The sequence below is a fragment of the Homo sapiens genome, chromosome 14 (assembly GCF_000001405.40).
Source record: "Homo sapiens chromosome 14, GRCh38.p14 Primary Assembly".
Lineage (NCBI taxonomy): Eukaryota > Metazoa > Chordata > Mammalia > Primates > Hominidae > Homo > Homo sapiens.
The window spans coordinates 58272072-58290521 of NC_000014.9; the positions used below are offsets into that span (position 1 = coordinate 58272072).

At 38.1% G+C, this 18450-nt stretch overlaps 2 long non-coding RNA genes and 1 pseudogene across 3 annotated transcripts in view, besides 2 other annotated features; 2 read left to right on the forward strand and 1 right to left on the reverse strand.

Annotated features, from left to right (window-relative positions):
• The window catches only part of PSMA3-AS1 (PSMA3 antisense RNA 1), a 32773-nt gene that overhangs the window by 6707 nt on the left and 7616 nt on the right, over nucleotides 1–18450 (reverse strand). Inside the window, exons 3-4 of one of the 2 annotated variants that reach the window (NR_029434.1) lie at nucleotides 13520–13685; nucleotides 1908–1939 (exon numbers count right to left, since the gene is read on the reverse strand). This is a non-coding gene — a long non-coding RNA (PSMA3 antisense RNA 1). Of the gene's footprint in view, nucleotides 1–1907; nucleotides 2065–13519; nucleotides 13686–18450 lie in introns of both variants that reach the window. The other variant, NR_029435.1, reaches the window with a different exon arrangement.
• Nucleotides 635–779: an enhancer, noted in NCBI's record as "145 bp enhancer 46 fragment used in the MPRA reporter construct; PK_construct_1867". NCBI's record gives its function as "activates an SV40 promoter by MPRA in HepG2 cells {active_cell/tissue: HepG2}" and the evidence as "EXISTENCE:reporter gene assay evidence [ECO:0000049][PMID:23512712]".
• Nucleotides 700–712: a transcriptional cis regulatory region, noted in NCBI's record as "HNF4 motif; enhancer activity is reduced when this motif is scrambled". NCBI's record gives its function as "necessary for full MPRA enhancer 46 activity {active_cell/tissue: HepG2}" and the evidence as "EXISTENCE:site-directed mutagenesis evidence [ECO:0005528][PMID:23512712]".
• Nucleotides 12638–13762, forward strand: HMGB1P14 (high mobility group box 1 pseudogene 14; annotated as a pseudogene).
• LINC00216 (long intergenic non-protein coding RNA 216) lies at nucleotides 15962–17082 on the forward strand. The gene has a single exon (NR_146595.1). It is a non-coding gene; the product is annotated as a long intergenic non-protein coding RNA 216 (long non-coding RNA).

The following is an 18450-nucleotide window of genomic DNA, read 5'->3' on the forward strand; positions in this document are numbered from 1 at the left end:
TTAAAATATAGATTTATGACTACTGAAAAATTCCCTGGTTAAAATGCTGCAGAATTAATTCCAAGACTGTAGATTAATTCAAAGCCCCATCTTCATCACTCAACTAGAATTTACAGATCATATTCTCCTGGGCTTTTGTACAAAAAGCACCTACCAACTTAGTGGACAAATAACTGATACGGTTTCCCACTTTCATATGAAGTAACTGGTGGTCATCAGTCACTGTTAATCTTTAGATGTGATACAGATGACAGATGTTTCAGTTTTGGATAATTTTTCAAAAACTGACCCTTCTCAAAAAAGACCCTTCAATACATGAGTCAAGGATGTTTTTGCTTTTTTCCTTTATTGTGGTGAGGGGCGGATTTAAGGATCAATAAAGTCCCTATTCTGTCACTAAAAAAATTTCTTGATCTCTAAAGATTAAAATAAAAATACCAACATCAGACAGCTTTCATGTTAAAAATCAGAATTTATGTTAAAGTGCTCTGTAAACAGAACTGTTACTAAGTGGAATAAACAGTACTGTGGCCGATAAGAATAACTTGAAGCTGAAAAGCAGTACTCACAGCAGGAACAATTTGAACTCAGGCCATGTATACACACCCTCTAGTGGACTCATGCCAGTGTCACTCCATTGAAGTGTTGTGCTTTCCTAAGAAGGTAATCTAGCCACTGAATTTGGGTGCAGGGTATCGCTGGACTTTGAGCATTTGTGTAGTTTAAATAGCAAATCATTATACCTGAGTATTAATAGCTAACTACTACACAAACAACTCAAAACCAGTAATGTCATGTCATTACCATGGCTTCTTTTATGTAACATTATCTGCTACATTTTACCACTCAAAATATATTTAAAATATGTATTTTAAAATATATTAGAGCATATGGCTCAAGCAATCCTCCCACCTCAGCCTCCCAAGTAGCTGGGACCACAGGCAAGCACCACCATGCTTGGCTAACTTTTAAAAATTTTTTGTAGAGACCGCATCTCACTATGTTGCCCAGGCTGGTCTTGAACTCCTGGACTTGAGCAATCTGTTCACCTCAGCCTCCTAAAATGCTGAAATTACAGGCATGAGCCACCGGGCCTGGCCACAACTCATATATTTAACTGTGAATGACACAAGTGTTGGTCTTAGAAAAATACAGGAACAATACTAAATTGGATCCATTTACAGACAGGTAAATTGACTATCCCTAAGCCAATCTATGGTCATTCCTATACTTTCCCAAAGTTCCAAAGTATGAATGTCACATGAATGTTGAATTCTTCTTTGAATGTATCTATTCTTAAAATTTACACCAGCATAGTTAAAACCCTCTTTGAAAGACACTGGTTCTAAAGAGACCCAAATATGAGCAGCTAAGCTACTATAGATGCCATAATATAAGCAGATATACCTAGTTCTTCAACTCTTATGAAAGAAAGAACATCGAGTGACGTGCTTTTCTTTTTTTGAGATGGAGTCTCGCTCTGTTGCTTAAGCTGAAGTGCAGTGACATGATCTCGACTCACTGCAACCTCTGCCTCACGGGTTGAAGAGAGTCTCCTGCCTCAGCCTCCCAAGTAGCTGGGACTACAGGCACCTGCCACCATGCCTGACTAATGTTTGCATTTTTAGTAGAAATGGGGTTTCACTATATTAGCCAGGCTGGTCTCGAACTCCTGACCTTGTGATCTGCCCGCCTTGGCCTCCCAAAGTGCTGGGATTACAGGCGTGAGCCACCATGCCCGGCCACCAAGTGATTTTCATACACACTGAACAGGATTAACAAATGTAGGTTCAATTGTAAGGATACTTTGTAACCACTGATGAGATATGACTAGCCTCTTTAGGAAAAAAAGCTGGTAAATTTTACTTTGATAAACGTAAAATTTATTTTAAGCAAAGACTGAGTACCTTATTACCATAAATCATCTTGATGCTGGTACCTAAAAAAAAAAAAAAAAAAAAAAAAGTTTAAAAGTTTTGCTTTAGAGATTCCAAAGAATATATTTAGACTTATAAAAGCACTTATCTGATAAGATTCTATTTGCTTTTCTTTATTCATAGAGACCTAAAAAATAAGAAAGTCAACTTCTAGGTTACCAATGTTTAACAGGTCTCAACATCAGAATATTCTTCATTTCACAGGAAAAGTAGCAAATTAAGACTACAAATATTCTCAGTTTGTAAAAATATCCACCTATCAAAGGAACTTCAAAACATGAAATGCAACTATTGTAACCCCAACCAAGTATAGCTTTTTTTTGTTGTTCCCACTGACCATATGTATCTATTATGGCTGAACTATAATAAAGTATATACCACCACCTCCCCCACTCCCCCCCGCACAAGACTGAGAGTTGTTTAAAAAAAAAAAAAATCCTTTCCTTGTATTTCAACTGGTGAGCACAAATAACTATTCACATGCTAAAGGTACACACATTGAAATCATACTAACTGCTGGATAAGGTATACTATTTGAAAATCACTGATTCAGAAATGTGTCAATCGAAGGCTTCTAAACTAAGATGAACATGGAGGCTGGGTGTGGTGGCTCACACCTGTAATCTCAACACTTTGGGAAGCTGAGGCAGGAGGATCGCTTGAACCCAGGAGTTCAAGACCAGCCTAAGCAACGTAGTGAGAGACCTTTTCTCTACAAAAAATAAGAAAGTCAGCCAGGCATGATGGCATGCGCCTGTAGTCCCAGCTACTCAAGAGGCTGAGGTGGGAGGATATCTTGAGCCCAGGAGTTCAGGGCTGTAGTGAGCTATGATGGCACCACTACACTCCGGCTTGGGTGACAGAGCAAGATTCTGTCTCAAAGAGAAAGAAGAAAAAAAAAAAAAAGCATGGTTTATCACCTGAACAGATCTGGAAAACTGAATCTTTGAAAATACATAAGTGTGGGGGGACCAATTATTTTATGAACTACAGTAGTGGGATTTTTTTTTTCTTAAAAGAAGTTAGGACTTCCTCTCTACCCCAGTTTAACCACAACAATTTAATAAAACTAGTACTGTAGCTCAAAACAGGACATTAGTTTATAAGCTCATAGATTTCAATCTAGCTTTGTCATTTAGTAACTGTGTGACTTGGGCAAGTTACTTAATTTTCTCATCTATAAAATAAGGATTATGTACCATTTTAAATGGCAACAAAACTGGAATTATTCAGATACACATCTAAATTTGTCCAAGGTTTTAATGTTGGAAAATTATTAAATGAGAAAAAGAACTAAAACAGGAAGTGTTATCAGAAAAGACTGTATTGCTAAGATACCACTTCTCTCCAAAATCATTTATTAGATTCGATGTAAACTTAGTCAAATTCCCAAGTGGCTTTTTGGGGGAAAGTGGTAGAAATCAATAAGCTGTTTCTAAAATTTATATGGAAAAAGTGAAAGAATTAGAAGAGCCAAAACAATTTTGAAAAGCACAAGTGAGAAGACCCACATTACCTAATTTCAAGACTAACTATAAAGTTCATAATGTAGACATAATATAAAATGGAGTTTAAAAACAGACCCACAAATAGTCAACTGACAAAAGTAAAAAAGCAAATTACTAGAGAAAGGATAGTGTTTTTTCAACAAATGGTGCTGGAACAACTGAACATTCATATGCAGGAAGAAAAAAAACCCCAAACAAAAACCTCAAACCATATCTTATACTACCTATATATAAAAAGTAGCTCAAAAGTGATCATGGACCAAAATGTACCTCAACCTGTAAAGCTTCAAAGAAAACAGAAGACATGTGTGACTGGTTTAAGAAAGAGTTCTCAGATACTACACCAAAAGCATGATCCATAAAAGAAAAACAATTGACAAGCTTTATCAAAATTAAAAGCAGCTGTTCTCCTTCCTAAAAACACTATTAAGGGACTGACAAGACAGGAAAAACTCTGGGGGAAAATATTTGCAAATCACATGTCTGACAAAGGACTTGTGTCCAGAATATATGAAGAACTCTCGAAATTGAACAATATGAAAACTCAACTTTTAAAAATGGGCAAAACAATAGGACCATTTACTAAAGAAGACACACTAATGACAAATATGTAAGGAAAGATATTCATTAGGAAAAGGCAAAATCACGATGAGATACCACTCTACATCTATTATAATGTGTATAATTAAAACTATACATTCTGACCACACTAGCACTGGTGAGTACGTAGACTAATGAATGCTTTATTGCTGGTGGGAAAGGAAAATGGTACAGATGCTTTGGAAAACAGTTTAGCAGCTTCTTATGAAGTTTAACACTTAGAGTATAACCCAGCACTCCTATTCCTAGGTGTTTACCTAAGTGAAATGAAAACTTCAGCTACATGATTCATGCATACTATATGATTCCAACTGTATGACATTTTTGAAAAGGCCAAACTATATGATCAGAAAAACAAAGCAGTGGTTCTCAGGGTGGGGGTGGGGGGTTGAGCATGGTAAGAAGTTTAGTTAAATTAGCAAAAAACAACTTCCTGTAGTGATGGAAATGTTCTGTATCTTGATTGTATTTAGCTGTAAGACTGTTTAAATTTGTTAATATTAATGGAATCATACGTATAAAGAGTAAATTTTACTGTATTATATCACAATAAACCAAGACTTAAGAAAAACTGCCTAGTATATAGAAAATGTTGAAACGCATGTTATCCTTCACTTCAGTTGAGCATCTGGGCACCACACTAGCATGTGTGCCACCTGGGATCCTTTTTATTACACTGCAATAATCACACTGGCTAAACCTATTCTTTAAACTTGTAACACTACCTAATTTTAACAGTTTGAGGAAAGCATTCCATTTTAATCCAAAAAATATACCTCTTCCCCCTGCCCCCCAGACAGAATTTTGCTCTTCTTGCCCAGGCTGGAGTGCAGTGGCACGATCTTGGCTTACTGCAACTTCGTCCTCCTGGGTTCAAGAGATTCTTCTGCCTCAGTCTCCCGAGTAGCTGGGATTACGGGCGCTAATTTTTCTATTTTTACTAGAGACGGGGTTTCATCATGTTGGCTAGGCTAGTCTCAAACTCTGACCTTGTGATCCGCCCGCCTCGACCTCCCGAAGTGCTAGGGAGCCACCGCGCCTGGTCTTTTTTTTTTTCTTTTTTTTTTTTTTTTGAGACCGAGTTTCACTGTTGTTGCCCAGGCTGGAGTGCAATGACACAATCTCAGCTCACTGCAACCTCTGCCTCCCGGGTTCCAGCAATCTCCTGCCTCAGCTTCCAAAGCAGCTGGGATTGCAGGCACACACCGCCACACTTGGCTAATTTTGTATTTTTAGTAGAGACGGGATTTCACCATGTTGGTCAGGCTGGTTTCGAACTCCTGACTGCAGGTGATCCACCCACCTAGGCCTCCCAAAGTGCTGGGATTACAGGCATGAGCCACTGCACCCAGCATACCTCAATCATAATAAACATTAATTGCTTATTAGAACTGTTAAAGGACACATGAAATAGAAAACGTGATTCTTGCCCTTTACAAAATATTCTGAGAAGCCGTTTCCTTATAAAACCACTAAATTATATCTTACCCTCCTTTAAACTGGGGTGAATTTTAAAGATACCTTTTCGCATGTTGCTGCTTAAACTAAACCACCACCACCAAAAAAAAAAGTAAGAAAAAAAAACCAAAAGACCTCAGTGTAGTGGTGTCCAACTATGGTCCCAGCTACTCATGAGGCTGAGGTGAGAGGATTGCTTGAGCAGTGCTGCATTGTGCTGTGAAAGTGCCTGTGAATAGCCACTACACTCCAGCCTGGACAACATAGCGAGACCTTGCCTGTATAAAGTTTAAAAAAAAAAAAAAAAAAGATAACAAGGCCAGGCGTGGCGGCTCACGCCTGCAATGCCAGCACTTTGGGAGGCTGAGCTAGGTAGATCACGAGGTCAAGAGTTAGACACCAACCTGACCGACAAGGTGAAACCCCGTCTCTACTAAAAATACAAAAATCAGCCGGGTGTGGAGGCAGGTACCTGTAATCCCAGCTACTCAGGAGGCCGAGACAGGAGAACTGCTTCAATCTAAGTGGAGCTTGCAGTGAGGCAAGATCGTGCCACTGCACTCCAGCCTGGGCGACAGAATGAGACTCCATCTGAACAACAATAACAAAGAAAATAACAAAGAGGGCAAAGAAGAAAGCCATCCATATTCCCACAACCTGGAATAACTATTTTAGGAATTTTTTTTTTTTTGCTTGCTTCCATGGTGTTTTTTTTTTTTTTCCGGAGACAGGGTCTCACTCTGTTGCCAGGCTGGAGTACAATGGCAGGATCAAAGATCACTGCAGCCTCAATCTTCCGTGCTTAAACTATCCTCCCACCTCAGCCTCCCGAGTAGCTCGAATCACAGGCATGTACCACCACGCCTGGCTAATTTTTTAAAATTTTTGAAGAAACACGCTGTATCTATATTGTCCAGGCTGGTCTCAAGTCATGACAAGTGATCCTCCCACCTCGGCCTCCCAAAGTGTTGCGATTATGGGTGTGAGCCACTGCCCAGCCTCCATTGTTTTTGCAATGTAGGTACTTAAATTATGTGGTATGTTCATATGTACCTATGTATTTATTGTCCCTCATATAAATATTAAAACATTACAAATAAAAGTAATATTCCTTCTTTGACCACTCAACCCCTTCAAGAGGTACTCTATTATAAAGTGTATCCTTCCAGTCCATATATCTCTTTGAAATAAATACTAGTATAATGTGATTAACATATAAAGATAGTTGATGAGCAGGATTCCTTACTCATGTATCTTGGGTTTGTCTTTGAAGTGTATCATTTGGACTTATATTTCATTTCTACTACATGGAATCACAAAGTTTTGAGAAAAATTCATGTAAATAAAGAGTTGAACTATTAAGATCCATGTGGAAATGGGAGTTAATTTTTTTTCAGGAAAAGTCAATGGGATTCAAGATTAATATAATATAAGGGAATTATTCTTAAGATAGCACCGAAGAAAATTCTGATAATTTAGAGAAAAGGAAATGGTATAGGAAAATTACAGGTATAAAGATAATAATATATGATATTTAGTAGGTCTGATTGGTTTGGGTGTCAGTAGCAACCAAGTGATAGCAGTAAAAATTCAAGGCAAACATTTGGATGCCTACGATGTATCACATCACCAAGGAAGACTAAAATTTAAAAAGTTCAGATATAGTTCTTTCCCCAGTGAGAAAAGCAGATACTAAAAATCACTGGCAAGGTCTATTAAACGTGTATACAAGCTGGGCACAGTGGCTACCGCCTGTAATCCCAACACTTTGGGAGGCCGACGTGGGCAGATCACTTGTGGTCAGCAGTTTGAGACCAGCCTGGCCAACAGAGTGAAACCCCATCTCTGCTAAAAATATAAAAATTAGCCGGGCATGGTGGCAGGCGCCTGTAGTCCCAGCTACTTGGGAGGCTGAGGCAGTTGAATTGCTTGACCTTGGGAGGCAGAGGTTGCAGTGAGCCAAGATGGTGCTGCTGCACTCCAGTGTAGGTAACAGAGTGAGACCCTGCCTCAAAAAAAAAGTAAAAAAGAGATGTGTATACATATACTTGTATGTCTACACTGAACTATAAACATGTGCTTTGGGGAGGAGAGAACATAAATTCTGACAAATATGGAAGGGAATTTGGGAACATTTCCTGGACACCTAGTGGAAGACCCCTCCAATGAGTGAATTCAGGAGAAAAAGCTTATCAATAATTATGAGTAAAAAACTTCTGAGATTCCAGTAATTAAAACAAAGTAGATTATGTAAAAATATGAAGGACAGAATTTACATGATAGTGGGAATGCATGCAACAGACAACTTTCTCAAAGTGTGGTTCGAAGATCACCTAAGTCAGAATTCTACAGATTTGAACTCACTAGGTAGGAAGAGGGACCCAGGAATCTGTATTTTCAATAAGTATCTGAGGTAATTCTTATTAACACTCTAAAATTTGAGAATCACTGATTTGGAAACAGGTTACTAAAAGGAGAATAGGGTAAGAGAAAAGGTTACTTTTAAAGTGATGACACTTAGGGCAGGGTGTGATGGCTCACGCCTGTAATCCCAGCACTTTGGAAGGCCAAGATGGGTTGGTCACCTGAGGTCAGGAGTTCAAGACCAGCCTGGCCAACATGATGAAACCCCGTCTCTACTAAAAATATAAAAATTAGCCAGGCGTGATGGCAGGCGCCTGTAATCCCAGCTACTCAGGAGGCTGAGGCAGGAGAATCACTTGAACCTGGGAAGCGGAGGATGCAGTGAGCCGAGACCACGCCACTGCACTCCAGCCTGTGCAACAGAGCAAGACTCCAACTCAAAAAAAAAAAAGGAAGAGATGACATTTAGAAAGCAAAATGGGGGATGAAGCAGTAAGGGATGATGGGTGTCTAGGAAAACTTTTTTTCATGATTGTGTAAGGAATGTATGTCTCGGAAATAGCAGCATACATACACCTAGATGAAAAAAAGAGTGGGGGGTGGGGGGAAGGGGAGGGAAGAATCTGGCAGAAAATTTATAGGGATGGTTCCAAATATTTTAGAATTCAACATCAGCTCCCAAGGAAGACAACATACAGATGTTAAGAGAACATTTCCAACATGTGAGTGAACGAAGAGCCAGGGTGCCAATAAAGAAGAAATTCTGTAACTGTTCACTAATGGTCAGGGATTGAAAAGCATCTTTCATATTTTACTGACAGGTCAAAAAAGAGAAAATTAGCTCTGACTTAATGCAGACCAGGTCAATTTGGTCAAAGAGAATTTTATAGACGAGCTTTGGTTCCACCATTGCAAAACAATATTCCGTTACCAGCAGTATTAGTAGGATTCAGGATTACACTGAAAGCATATTCTACTCACACATTCTATTAACAACTAATTGGAATTTCATTTCATAGGATAAAAACTGACAGAAAATTCATCATTTATAACTAGGTGTTCTATTTACTATTTTAGCTGCAAAAGATTTTTAAAATGGTTTTACTGCAACTTCCCCCCAAAACATTTTCAACATTTAAAATGTAGCCCAGTTCTAATTACCATCTAACCTTTGACCTGTCTCTTCTATAAGTGAAGCAAATGTGTCTAAATACAGTTCTTACATATTTCTGGAATAAAAACCTACTAGAAATGAACATAGATCCTTCCTTCATAGGCAATATAATAATTCATTCACAACCTCAAACACATTTGACATGGAAAGCCTAAAGGCAAGCCACAAAGTAGGCAAGTCATACACTAAATAGTTCTGACAGCAAAAGGTTTCTCTTCCTTCCTGGCAACCCTCTCTTTCATGATAAGCAGCCAAATGAATCTTTCTGACAAATGACATCATATATAGACAAGACATGCCATTCTCCCCCACCACCCGCCCTAGATATCTGGACGGCTTCCAAACTGAATTTCAGGAGAAGCTAGCCTAGCATAAAATCCATTCTTTTCCCTAAATGGAAATCTGACAAAACAGGAAGTACACAGCAGCACAGAGAAGCAAGTTTTGTGTCTTAAGTATTTACTGGTAACAGACTAGTTCTTCGTGACTAATAAAATGCAGAACTTCAAATCTGAGAGGAAAACAGCAAGTCTGCCTTGGGTTACCATGGCCTCGGCAATTCTAAGGCCTTAAAAGCAGTATCACATGATACACAGAGGAATAAGAAACAAGAAGGTGGTGCTTTTTTTTTTTTTTTTTTGGTTATGTTCCTTCATACAAAAATTCCCCTCCCTGTCCCATCTGACCAAGATCTAGGCCACCAAAATTATACAAACACTGGAAGAAGCTTTATGATTGCATATATAGACTAAGAAACTAAGATTTTTTGAGAAACAGTAGGAATTCTGGTTTGATTTGAGGGAAATAATTGGGGATTTATTTTTATTTTTTTGCTTGCCATAGGATTTGAGGTAACCCTAAATGTAAATAAATACAAATCCCTAAGATCCCTAAGTGGGCTATTTGAACTGGCAGACTCAGTAACATATTAAACCTATCAAACACGCCAACAAAAAGAAAAAAAAAAAAAGAACATGATTTCATCCTCCATGCCTTTTTTCCCACTCAACCCACTGCTGTTAGGAATTTTTCAGGTAATGATTAATTTGTATCTAACGTCTAAGCTATTACACATAAGTGTAGTAGTATATCTAAGTGCCCAGCAAATGTTAAAGTACCAAATTTAAAACGTTATCTAGTTGATTCCTCACCCTGTCCAAAGAAGGTTGAGACAGACCTACAGTTAAGTCATGAAACCACTTCTGTGGATCACATCAGACTTTTTTTTTTTTTCTGAGATGGCATCTTGCTCTGTACCCAGGCTGGAGTGCAGTGGCATGATCTCGGCTCACTGCAACCTCCACATCCTGGGTTCAAGCGACTCTTCTGCCTCAGCCTCCCAAGTGGCTGGGACTACACATGCGCGCCACCACGCCTGGCTAACTTTTGTATTTTTAGTAGAGACAGAGTTTCACCATATTGGCCAGGTTGGTCTCAAACTTCTGACCTTATGATCCACCCGTCTTGGCCTCCCAAAATGCTGGGATTACAGGCGTGAGCCACCGCACCCAGCCCATCTGATTTTTTATACAAATGAACTACAGAAGAAAATATTGAATCACACGGTAGTACTTTTGTGTGTGGGCAGTATAGACATACATAAAACTGAAATGTCACCATAATGACATTAATGAAATGTCACCATAATGAAATTAATCAGTGTGGCTATTACTTGAAATATCTGTTTTACCAACCAATGAAAGCAATCAGAACTCTTGTTAAATAAAACAGTGAGATAGAGGGGGCATTAAAGTTTCTGTCAGAATTTGATTCTAGGAACATCAGCCAATTCCTCAAATGCTAAAATTATCAAGTAAATGTCTAAGACTTCTGATTCTCAGAGTTTGTTAAAAAAAAGTTAACCTTGCAAAGAACAGGTGGATATTAGAAGCTTAGAATTCTTGTTTTAAAAATACGGTGCTAGACTGCAACCCTAAAATATTAAGAGCTGTAAATACCTAGCCCAATGACCCTCATTCTCTAAAAGCAAAAGCAGTGATGTATCCCAGGTCACAGCCAATGAGTAATAGGCTTATGAGTAGAACACATAACATCCAGTTTTCAAATCCAGTGTTTCAGTATTAAAGTGCTTATTCAATCCAACGTCCTGTTGAATTATTGTAAAAATTCTGAGAATTCTGGAGCTAAGCACACACAATACTGCTTTAACTCCATGAAGGCCTATGAGCCTGATATTTTATCTCCCCAATTCCTGCCATTCTCATTTTGTCCAAATCATGATGCCACACCCTTAGCAATATCACAGCAAGCAAGGATCAAGTGTCCTCATGAAATATCTCATCCAGTTCCTATTCTTAGGCTATACCCAGTTTCACACCTAAAGGCATTATGGTATTGTGATTAAAAAAGAAAAATACTTGGAGGGTGACACTATGGGTTCAATAATTTATTGAGCCACGTGGCTTATCTATCCCACTACTGGCAGGTGACGAACCCTTAGCCCTGGATGAACTTTTCCCACATTTGTACCACTGATAATTATTAGGAAGATCTGTGAAAAATGAGGTAACAACAAGCAGAAAAACCATTCTCTGGTGGTTATTTAGAGATACAATCTTTTTTTAAAAAAGTGATTTCATTTTAAGTGACTGGCCAGGACATTCTTGAATGTACAAACACTGACAAAACACATTTTTACTGGCATGCATTTGTCCATTAAACATAACCTTTTAGCTTGTGATACCTTTTATAAATTTTCATTACACAAATGAATGCCTACTAAGTCCCAAGGCCTATGATAGGTTCTAAACCTACAAGGAAGAAAAAGGTACAGTTTTCTGCCTGTAAAGATTGCACAACACAGTAAGAGAGACATATGTAAATAAAAGGCTAAAGTGCAATACAAAAAGTGGTAAAGAATCATGTAAGAGGAAACATGAAATTCACATGATGATTACCTATATAGTTCTACCTATTGAACTATCAGAAAACTTCACTTAAAAGGTAGCATTTGAATACAAGGAGATGGGATAACAATCAAATTGGTGAGAACAGTATGAACATAAGTAAATGAGAAAACATATGGCTTGTACAAGAGAACCATGATAGTTCAATGTGACTGCAGCATATGATGCTTGAAGGGAAGTAGTAAAAAATAAGGTTGGAGAGAGGTGGATATGACCTTTAGTAGGGTCTCAGAATCAAGACAAGAGAGTCTAGATGCTTAATGTCTGTATATCAATGCAATAAATGTATACATTTAAAACTCACTTGGAATGATATGCACGTAAGAGTATTACATATGTTACCACCACCACCTCATACCCAAGTACTTCCTAGATACTTGGCACCATTCTAAACATTTTACATGTATTTACCATGTAATACTAATTCCAACCTTGTCAAGCCAGTTCTATTATTATCCCCATGTTACAGATGAGGCAAGGAGAATAAGAAATTTGCTCTAAATCACCCCTCCTCACAAAAATCCTGGCTATACCTACACATTCTAAAGCTAGAAGTATCTTCTTTGCTACCCCAGCATAATTTTTAAAGCTATCATTCTTATGGGGGCACAGGAAAAACCTACAAAGTAACCTAAATGACTTAAGAATCCTTAAAAAAATAAAAGGTGTCAAGTGAGAGCCAGACGGGCACTGGGTGACTCTGTGCCTCGCTGAGGAAAAATAACTAAACAGGGGTAAAGGAGATCCTAAGAAGCCAAGAGACAGAATGTCATCATATGCATTTTTTGTGCAAAGTTGTCGGGAGGAGCATAAGCACCACCACTCAGATGCTTCAGTAAACTTCTCAAAGAGTTTTCTAAGAAGTGCTCAGGGAAATGGAAGACCATGTCTGCTAAAGAGAAAGGAAAATTTGAAAATATGGCAAAGGCGGACAAGGTCCATTATGAAAGAGAAATGAAAACCTATATTCCTCCTAAACAGGAGACAAAAAAGAAGTTCAAGGATCCCAATGCACCCAAGAGGCCTCCCTTCAGCCTGAGTACTGCCCAAAAATCAAAGGGAGAACATCCTGGCCAGTCTACTGGTGATGTTGCAAAGAAACTGGGAGAGATGCGGACTAACAGTGCTGCAGATGACAAATGGCCTTATGAAAAGAAGGCTGCAAAGCTGAAGGAAAAATACAGAAAGGATACTGCTGTATATCGAGCTAAAGGAAAGCCTGATGCAGCGAAAAAGGGAGATGTCAAGGCTGAAAAAAGCAAGAAAAGGAAGAATGAGAAAGATGAAGAGGATGAGGAAGAGGATGAGGAGGAAGATGAAGAGGATGACGATAATGAATATGCTGATAATGAATGCACTGGTTTTAGTGGTTTTGTCTATAAAACATTTAACTCCCCTGTACACAACTCACTCTTTTTAAAGTAAAAAATTGAAATGTAAGGCTGTGTAAAATGTTTTAAACTGTACAGTGTCTTTTTTTGTATAGTTAACACACTACCAAATGTGTCTTTAGATAGTCCTGTCCTGGTGGTATTTTCAGTAGCCACTAACCTTGCCTGGTACAGTATGGGGGTTGTAAATTGCCATGGAAATTTAAAGCAGGTTCTTGTTGGTGCACAGCACAAATTAGTTATATACGGGGATGGTAGTTTTTTCATCTTCAGTCGTCTCTGATGTGGCTTATACGAAATAATTGTTCTCTTAACTGAATACCACTCTGCAATTGCAAAAAAAAAAAAAGTTGCAGCTGTTTTGTTAACACTGTGAATGCTTCTAAGTAAATACTTTTATTAGAAAAAAATAAGGTGTCAAAAGAGATAAAAAGTGAAGCAATAAAAACATACACATAACCACACATTCATTAAAAACTCAGAATGTTGTAAACTGATGCACAAATGTTAGGTTTTTAAATATACTGATTTTTTCCTGAATCTGAACACAGGTATCTTTTTAACTCAAAGCTAGCACTACAATGGAAAAACTTTTAAGTACATATTTAAATCAAATCAAAGACTGTCTTGATAAATATAAAAAAATAGCTCAAATTTCATAAGCTCACATACCATCCCAAAAGGAAAACTCCAAAAAAGTTAGGTTTCATAAAAGCAGACTAAAAAGTGGAATCAACAAGAAAAAGTATGTATATTTAATATTGTGATTGGTATGTAATTGATAATGTAAAAGACTGGCTTTTTTCTAAAACAAAATCAGGAAAGAGAGCAGCAAATAAAACATTTTTTTTTTTTTTTGAGACGGGTCTTGCTCTGTTGCCCAGGCTGGAATGCAGTGGTGCCATCTCGGCTCACTGCAACTTCCGCCTCCTGGGTTCAAGCAATTCTCCTGCCTCAGCCTCCCAAACAGCTGGGATTACAGCTGCCTGAAACCACACCCAGCTAAGTTTTATATTTTTAGTAGAGATGGGGTTTCACCATGTTGGCCAGGCTGGTCTTGAACTCCTGACCTCAGGTGATCTGCCTGCCTCGGCCTCCCAAAGTGCTGGGATTACAGGTGTGGGCCACCACACCCGGCTTTTTTTTTTTGAGATGGGAGTTTCGCTCTTGTTGGCCAGGCTGGAGTACAATGGTGCAATCTTGGCTCACCGTGACCTTCGCCTCCCGGATTCAAGCGGTTCTCCTGCCTCAGCCTCCAGAGTAGCTGGGATTACAGGCATGCGCCACCACGCCAGGCTAATTTTGTATTTTTAGTAGAGATGCGGTTTCTCCATGTTGGTCAGGCTGGTCTCAAACTCCCAATCTCACGCCCGCCTCAGCCTCCCAAAGTGCTGTGCCTGGGCAATAAAACATTTTTTTAAAAGTCTTGGGAAAAAAGGCAGTGGAGGTGGGGTGGGAGGGTGATGATGGTAGCAGATCCATAGGAGGCTAACTGGTGAAATCCAGCTCCTTCTCCAGGGTTAGCTCAAAAGTCCACCTACTGCATGTTTTGACGTAATTATTAAAAGTAATTTCTTATACTGAACATTTTGTTGAAATAAAAATGATTTATAAAAACAAGACACAACACCTTTACCTGGATTTCAGATAAAGAATCTTGGCTAAACATTCATGTTCCATAAAAATATCTGTTCCCTCTAGACATTATTTTAAAAATAAACTAAAACAGAATACACAAAAATTAGTACACTCTGGAAGAGGGGAAAAAGAAAGATATTTCACTCTATTCCATTTGAGCCCTTTTAAAACATACATATATGAAGGGACTTCAAAAAATTTGTGGAAAAACAATTAAATGATAAAAAACATAAAGTTTACTTCTCAACGTAAGTTCCACCAAATCAAGACACTTTTGTAAGCAATAATACCAGTCATTCAGTCCATTCCTAAAGAACTGAGGGTCCTGGGAATTTAGCTATGTCAATGCAGTCTTTTTTACATTAACAGAAGAAAAATGGGTGCCCTTAAAAAAAATTGGTAAGATTAGGAATCGAAGTCAGAAGGAGCCAAATCAGGGCTGCAAGGTAGATGCCTCATATTTTCCCATCAAAATTCTTACAAAACTGCCCTAGTTTGATGAAGGGCCTTGGCTGCATTGTTGGGGTAGAGTACGTTTTGGTGAAGCTCTCTCAGGCGTTTTTCTGCTAAAGCTTTGGCTAATTTTTTTCAACAAAATACTCTCATAAGCAGATGTTATCGTTCTTTGGCCCTCCAGAAAGTCAACAAGCAAAACGATTTGAGCATTCCAAAAACCTGTTTTGCCTTGACCTTTGCTCTTGACCAGCCTGCTTTTGCTTTGACTGGACCACTTCCACCTCTTGGTAGCCATTGCTTTGACTGTGCTTTGTCTTCAAAAGTGTACTAGTAAAGCCATGTTCTATCTCTTGTTACAATTTTTCAAAGAAATCCTTTAGGGTCTTGATCACACTTGTTTAAATTTCCATTGAAAGCTTTGCTCTTGTCTTCAGCTGATCTGGGTGTACAGTTGTGGCATCCAATGAGTGGAAAGTTTGCTCAAATTTAATTTTCCATCAAAATTGTGTAAGCTGAACCAATTGAGATGTTGGCATAAACAAGATTAACTTTTCCCTTGCAAATCGATGTGACTGGTCTGCTGCTGCAGGCTTCATCTAAAACTTTGCTTCGTCTTAAACTAGTTATGCATTTGTAAACTGCTACTGATTTCTTTGGGGCATTGTCCCCATAAACTATTTGTAAAGTATCAATGATTTCACCATTCTTCCACATCACAACTTTCACCATCAATTTGATGTTTGTCCTTGCTACAATTTTAGCAGAATTGATTTTGCCTTGATAGGGACTCTTTGCAAACTGATGTCCTATCCTTCTTAGTGCCTCAAACTAGATCCTGTTCAGACATGTTATAACAAGTTAGTATGAGTTTATTTTGGTGCAAGAAAATTTATGTTCTCACAAAACTATATTTTTTTCAATAATGAAAAACAAATCTCTCCTTAATTTGAGAAGCATCTGGTTTTCCTGAACTTATTTTTTCTTAATTCAAGTTGAACTAAAGTATCAGTTACACTTAAGTCTAATAGAATGGAATTAAAAGTCACAATGTAGAAACAATGTAGGGTTTGGGACAATGCCTTGTCCCAATTAGGGAACCCGCAAAGATTTTGACAAAATGAAGAATAAATGCTTACTGGACATTTCAAGCTCTAACTAGCATGTTTAAAACAGATTTCATCATCTTTACCAACCAGTGGCTTTTCTTGACTTGCCAAATCAGTGAATGGTACTGCTCGTTCCCTCTTTCTTAAATCTTGAGTATGTTTCATTTTCTTTCTTCTTCACCTCTATAATCAGAGATCAAATGCTGTCAAGTTTTCCTCCCCCCACCAAAACAATTCCTTGCTCACCTATTCCTTTCTCTCTCCAGTTCCTACTCTAGTTTCATCTCATGCTGATACCACTTCAACAGTATCTTGTCTCCCTACTTCCAATTCCTGTGTCATTTCTTCAGTTACAATGGGCATTGTTTCTAAATAATTTTCCAACACTGTATTTTGTTTATGACATGCCTTTCTGTGCCTATTCAAAAACTCTCAGCAAAAGTAACTAAAATTAAAAGGGAAATCTGTATGGAAAAATATGTGCAGCAAGTTACCACTATAATAAACTCAATCAATTAAGAAATAAAACATCAAGATTCTAATACATAATTAGAAATGTGAATAGACAACCTGTAAAAGAATCAGTAAGTGAAATCACAGAACAAGGTCCCATTTCACTAATTCACAACAAAAACACTATAAAGAAAAAAAGAGCTCAATGTATTTTGCACCTATTAAATTAGTAAAAATGAAAATTATAGACTATTTAATGCCACTAGCTAAACTCACAGGGAGGGTGATAGTGTAAATTATAACCAGCTTGAAAAACAACACAGCAATGTTTCAGGAGTCATAAAAATGTTCATACAACGACTCTTTAAATGTACTCCTAAAAGAACAGTCCAAAAGAGAAAATACTGTATGCATGCAGAAGATACCTGAAGCACAATACTGAAGCACTATGAAACTTACAGTCATGCAATAGAAAAATGAAAAGGATAAAAAAGCTTGATGGAATATTTTCAGACATTAAAATCATTATAGAGACTGTCCATTACACTGAATGCTTGTTATAATGTTAAAGGAGCAAAGAAAACCAAAAACTACCCTAAGACTAAAGAAAATACATACAAACAAGGAGGAAGGAAATTTTAAAAATCTCTTAGAGTGGCATTAAAAGTGATTTCTTTTTTCTTTTGAGACAGTCTCACTCTGTTGCCCAGGCTGGAGTGCAGTGGTCCAATCCTGGCTCACTGCAACCTCCACCTCCCAGGTTCTCCTGCCTCAGCCTCCCGAGTAGCTAGGATTACAGTCACGTGCCACCACGCCAGGCTAAATTTCGTAGTTTTAGTAGAAATGAGGTTTCACAATGTTGGCCAGGCTGGTCTCAAACTCCTGGCCTCAAGCCATCTGCCCACCTTGGCCTTCCAAAGTGCTGGGATTACAGGTGTGAGCCACCATGCATGGCTGCATTTTATTTTGTTTAGTTCCATTATAATTTGTAAAACTTGAAATAAGACAAGACAAAAATAATGGTCAATTTCTGCTTACTCCCAATCTTCCAAGACCCTCTAGAACCCTGTAACACCCCATTGGACTCTGATGTGCAGCTAACCCTAGAAACAGGGGTAGGTTGGCCACACAATTTTCCCTAATCTTCAGCCAATCATCCTTTCTGACCTGGTTTACCCTCTGTCCCAAATACATATTTCCTTGTATTCTTGCTCACAACCTTTCATCCAATTAGAATGTCTTCTCTCCTTCTAATTTTACACATTATATCTCACTATCCTTGAAAAGCCTTTAATAACCATTATAAATTTCTTTCTGCTCTGCTTTCTAAAGCAATTTGTCTCTTTTAAAAGAACCACTAGATCTGATTGTATACAGAACTTTGACAAATCTATTATCAGGAGCCATGTAAGTCTATAAATAAGGTTATATAGATTGC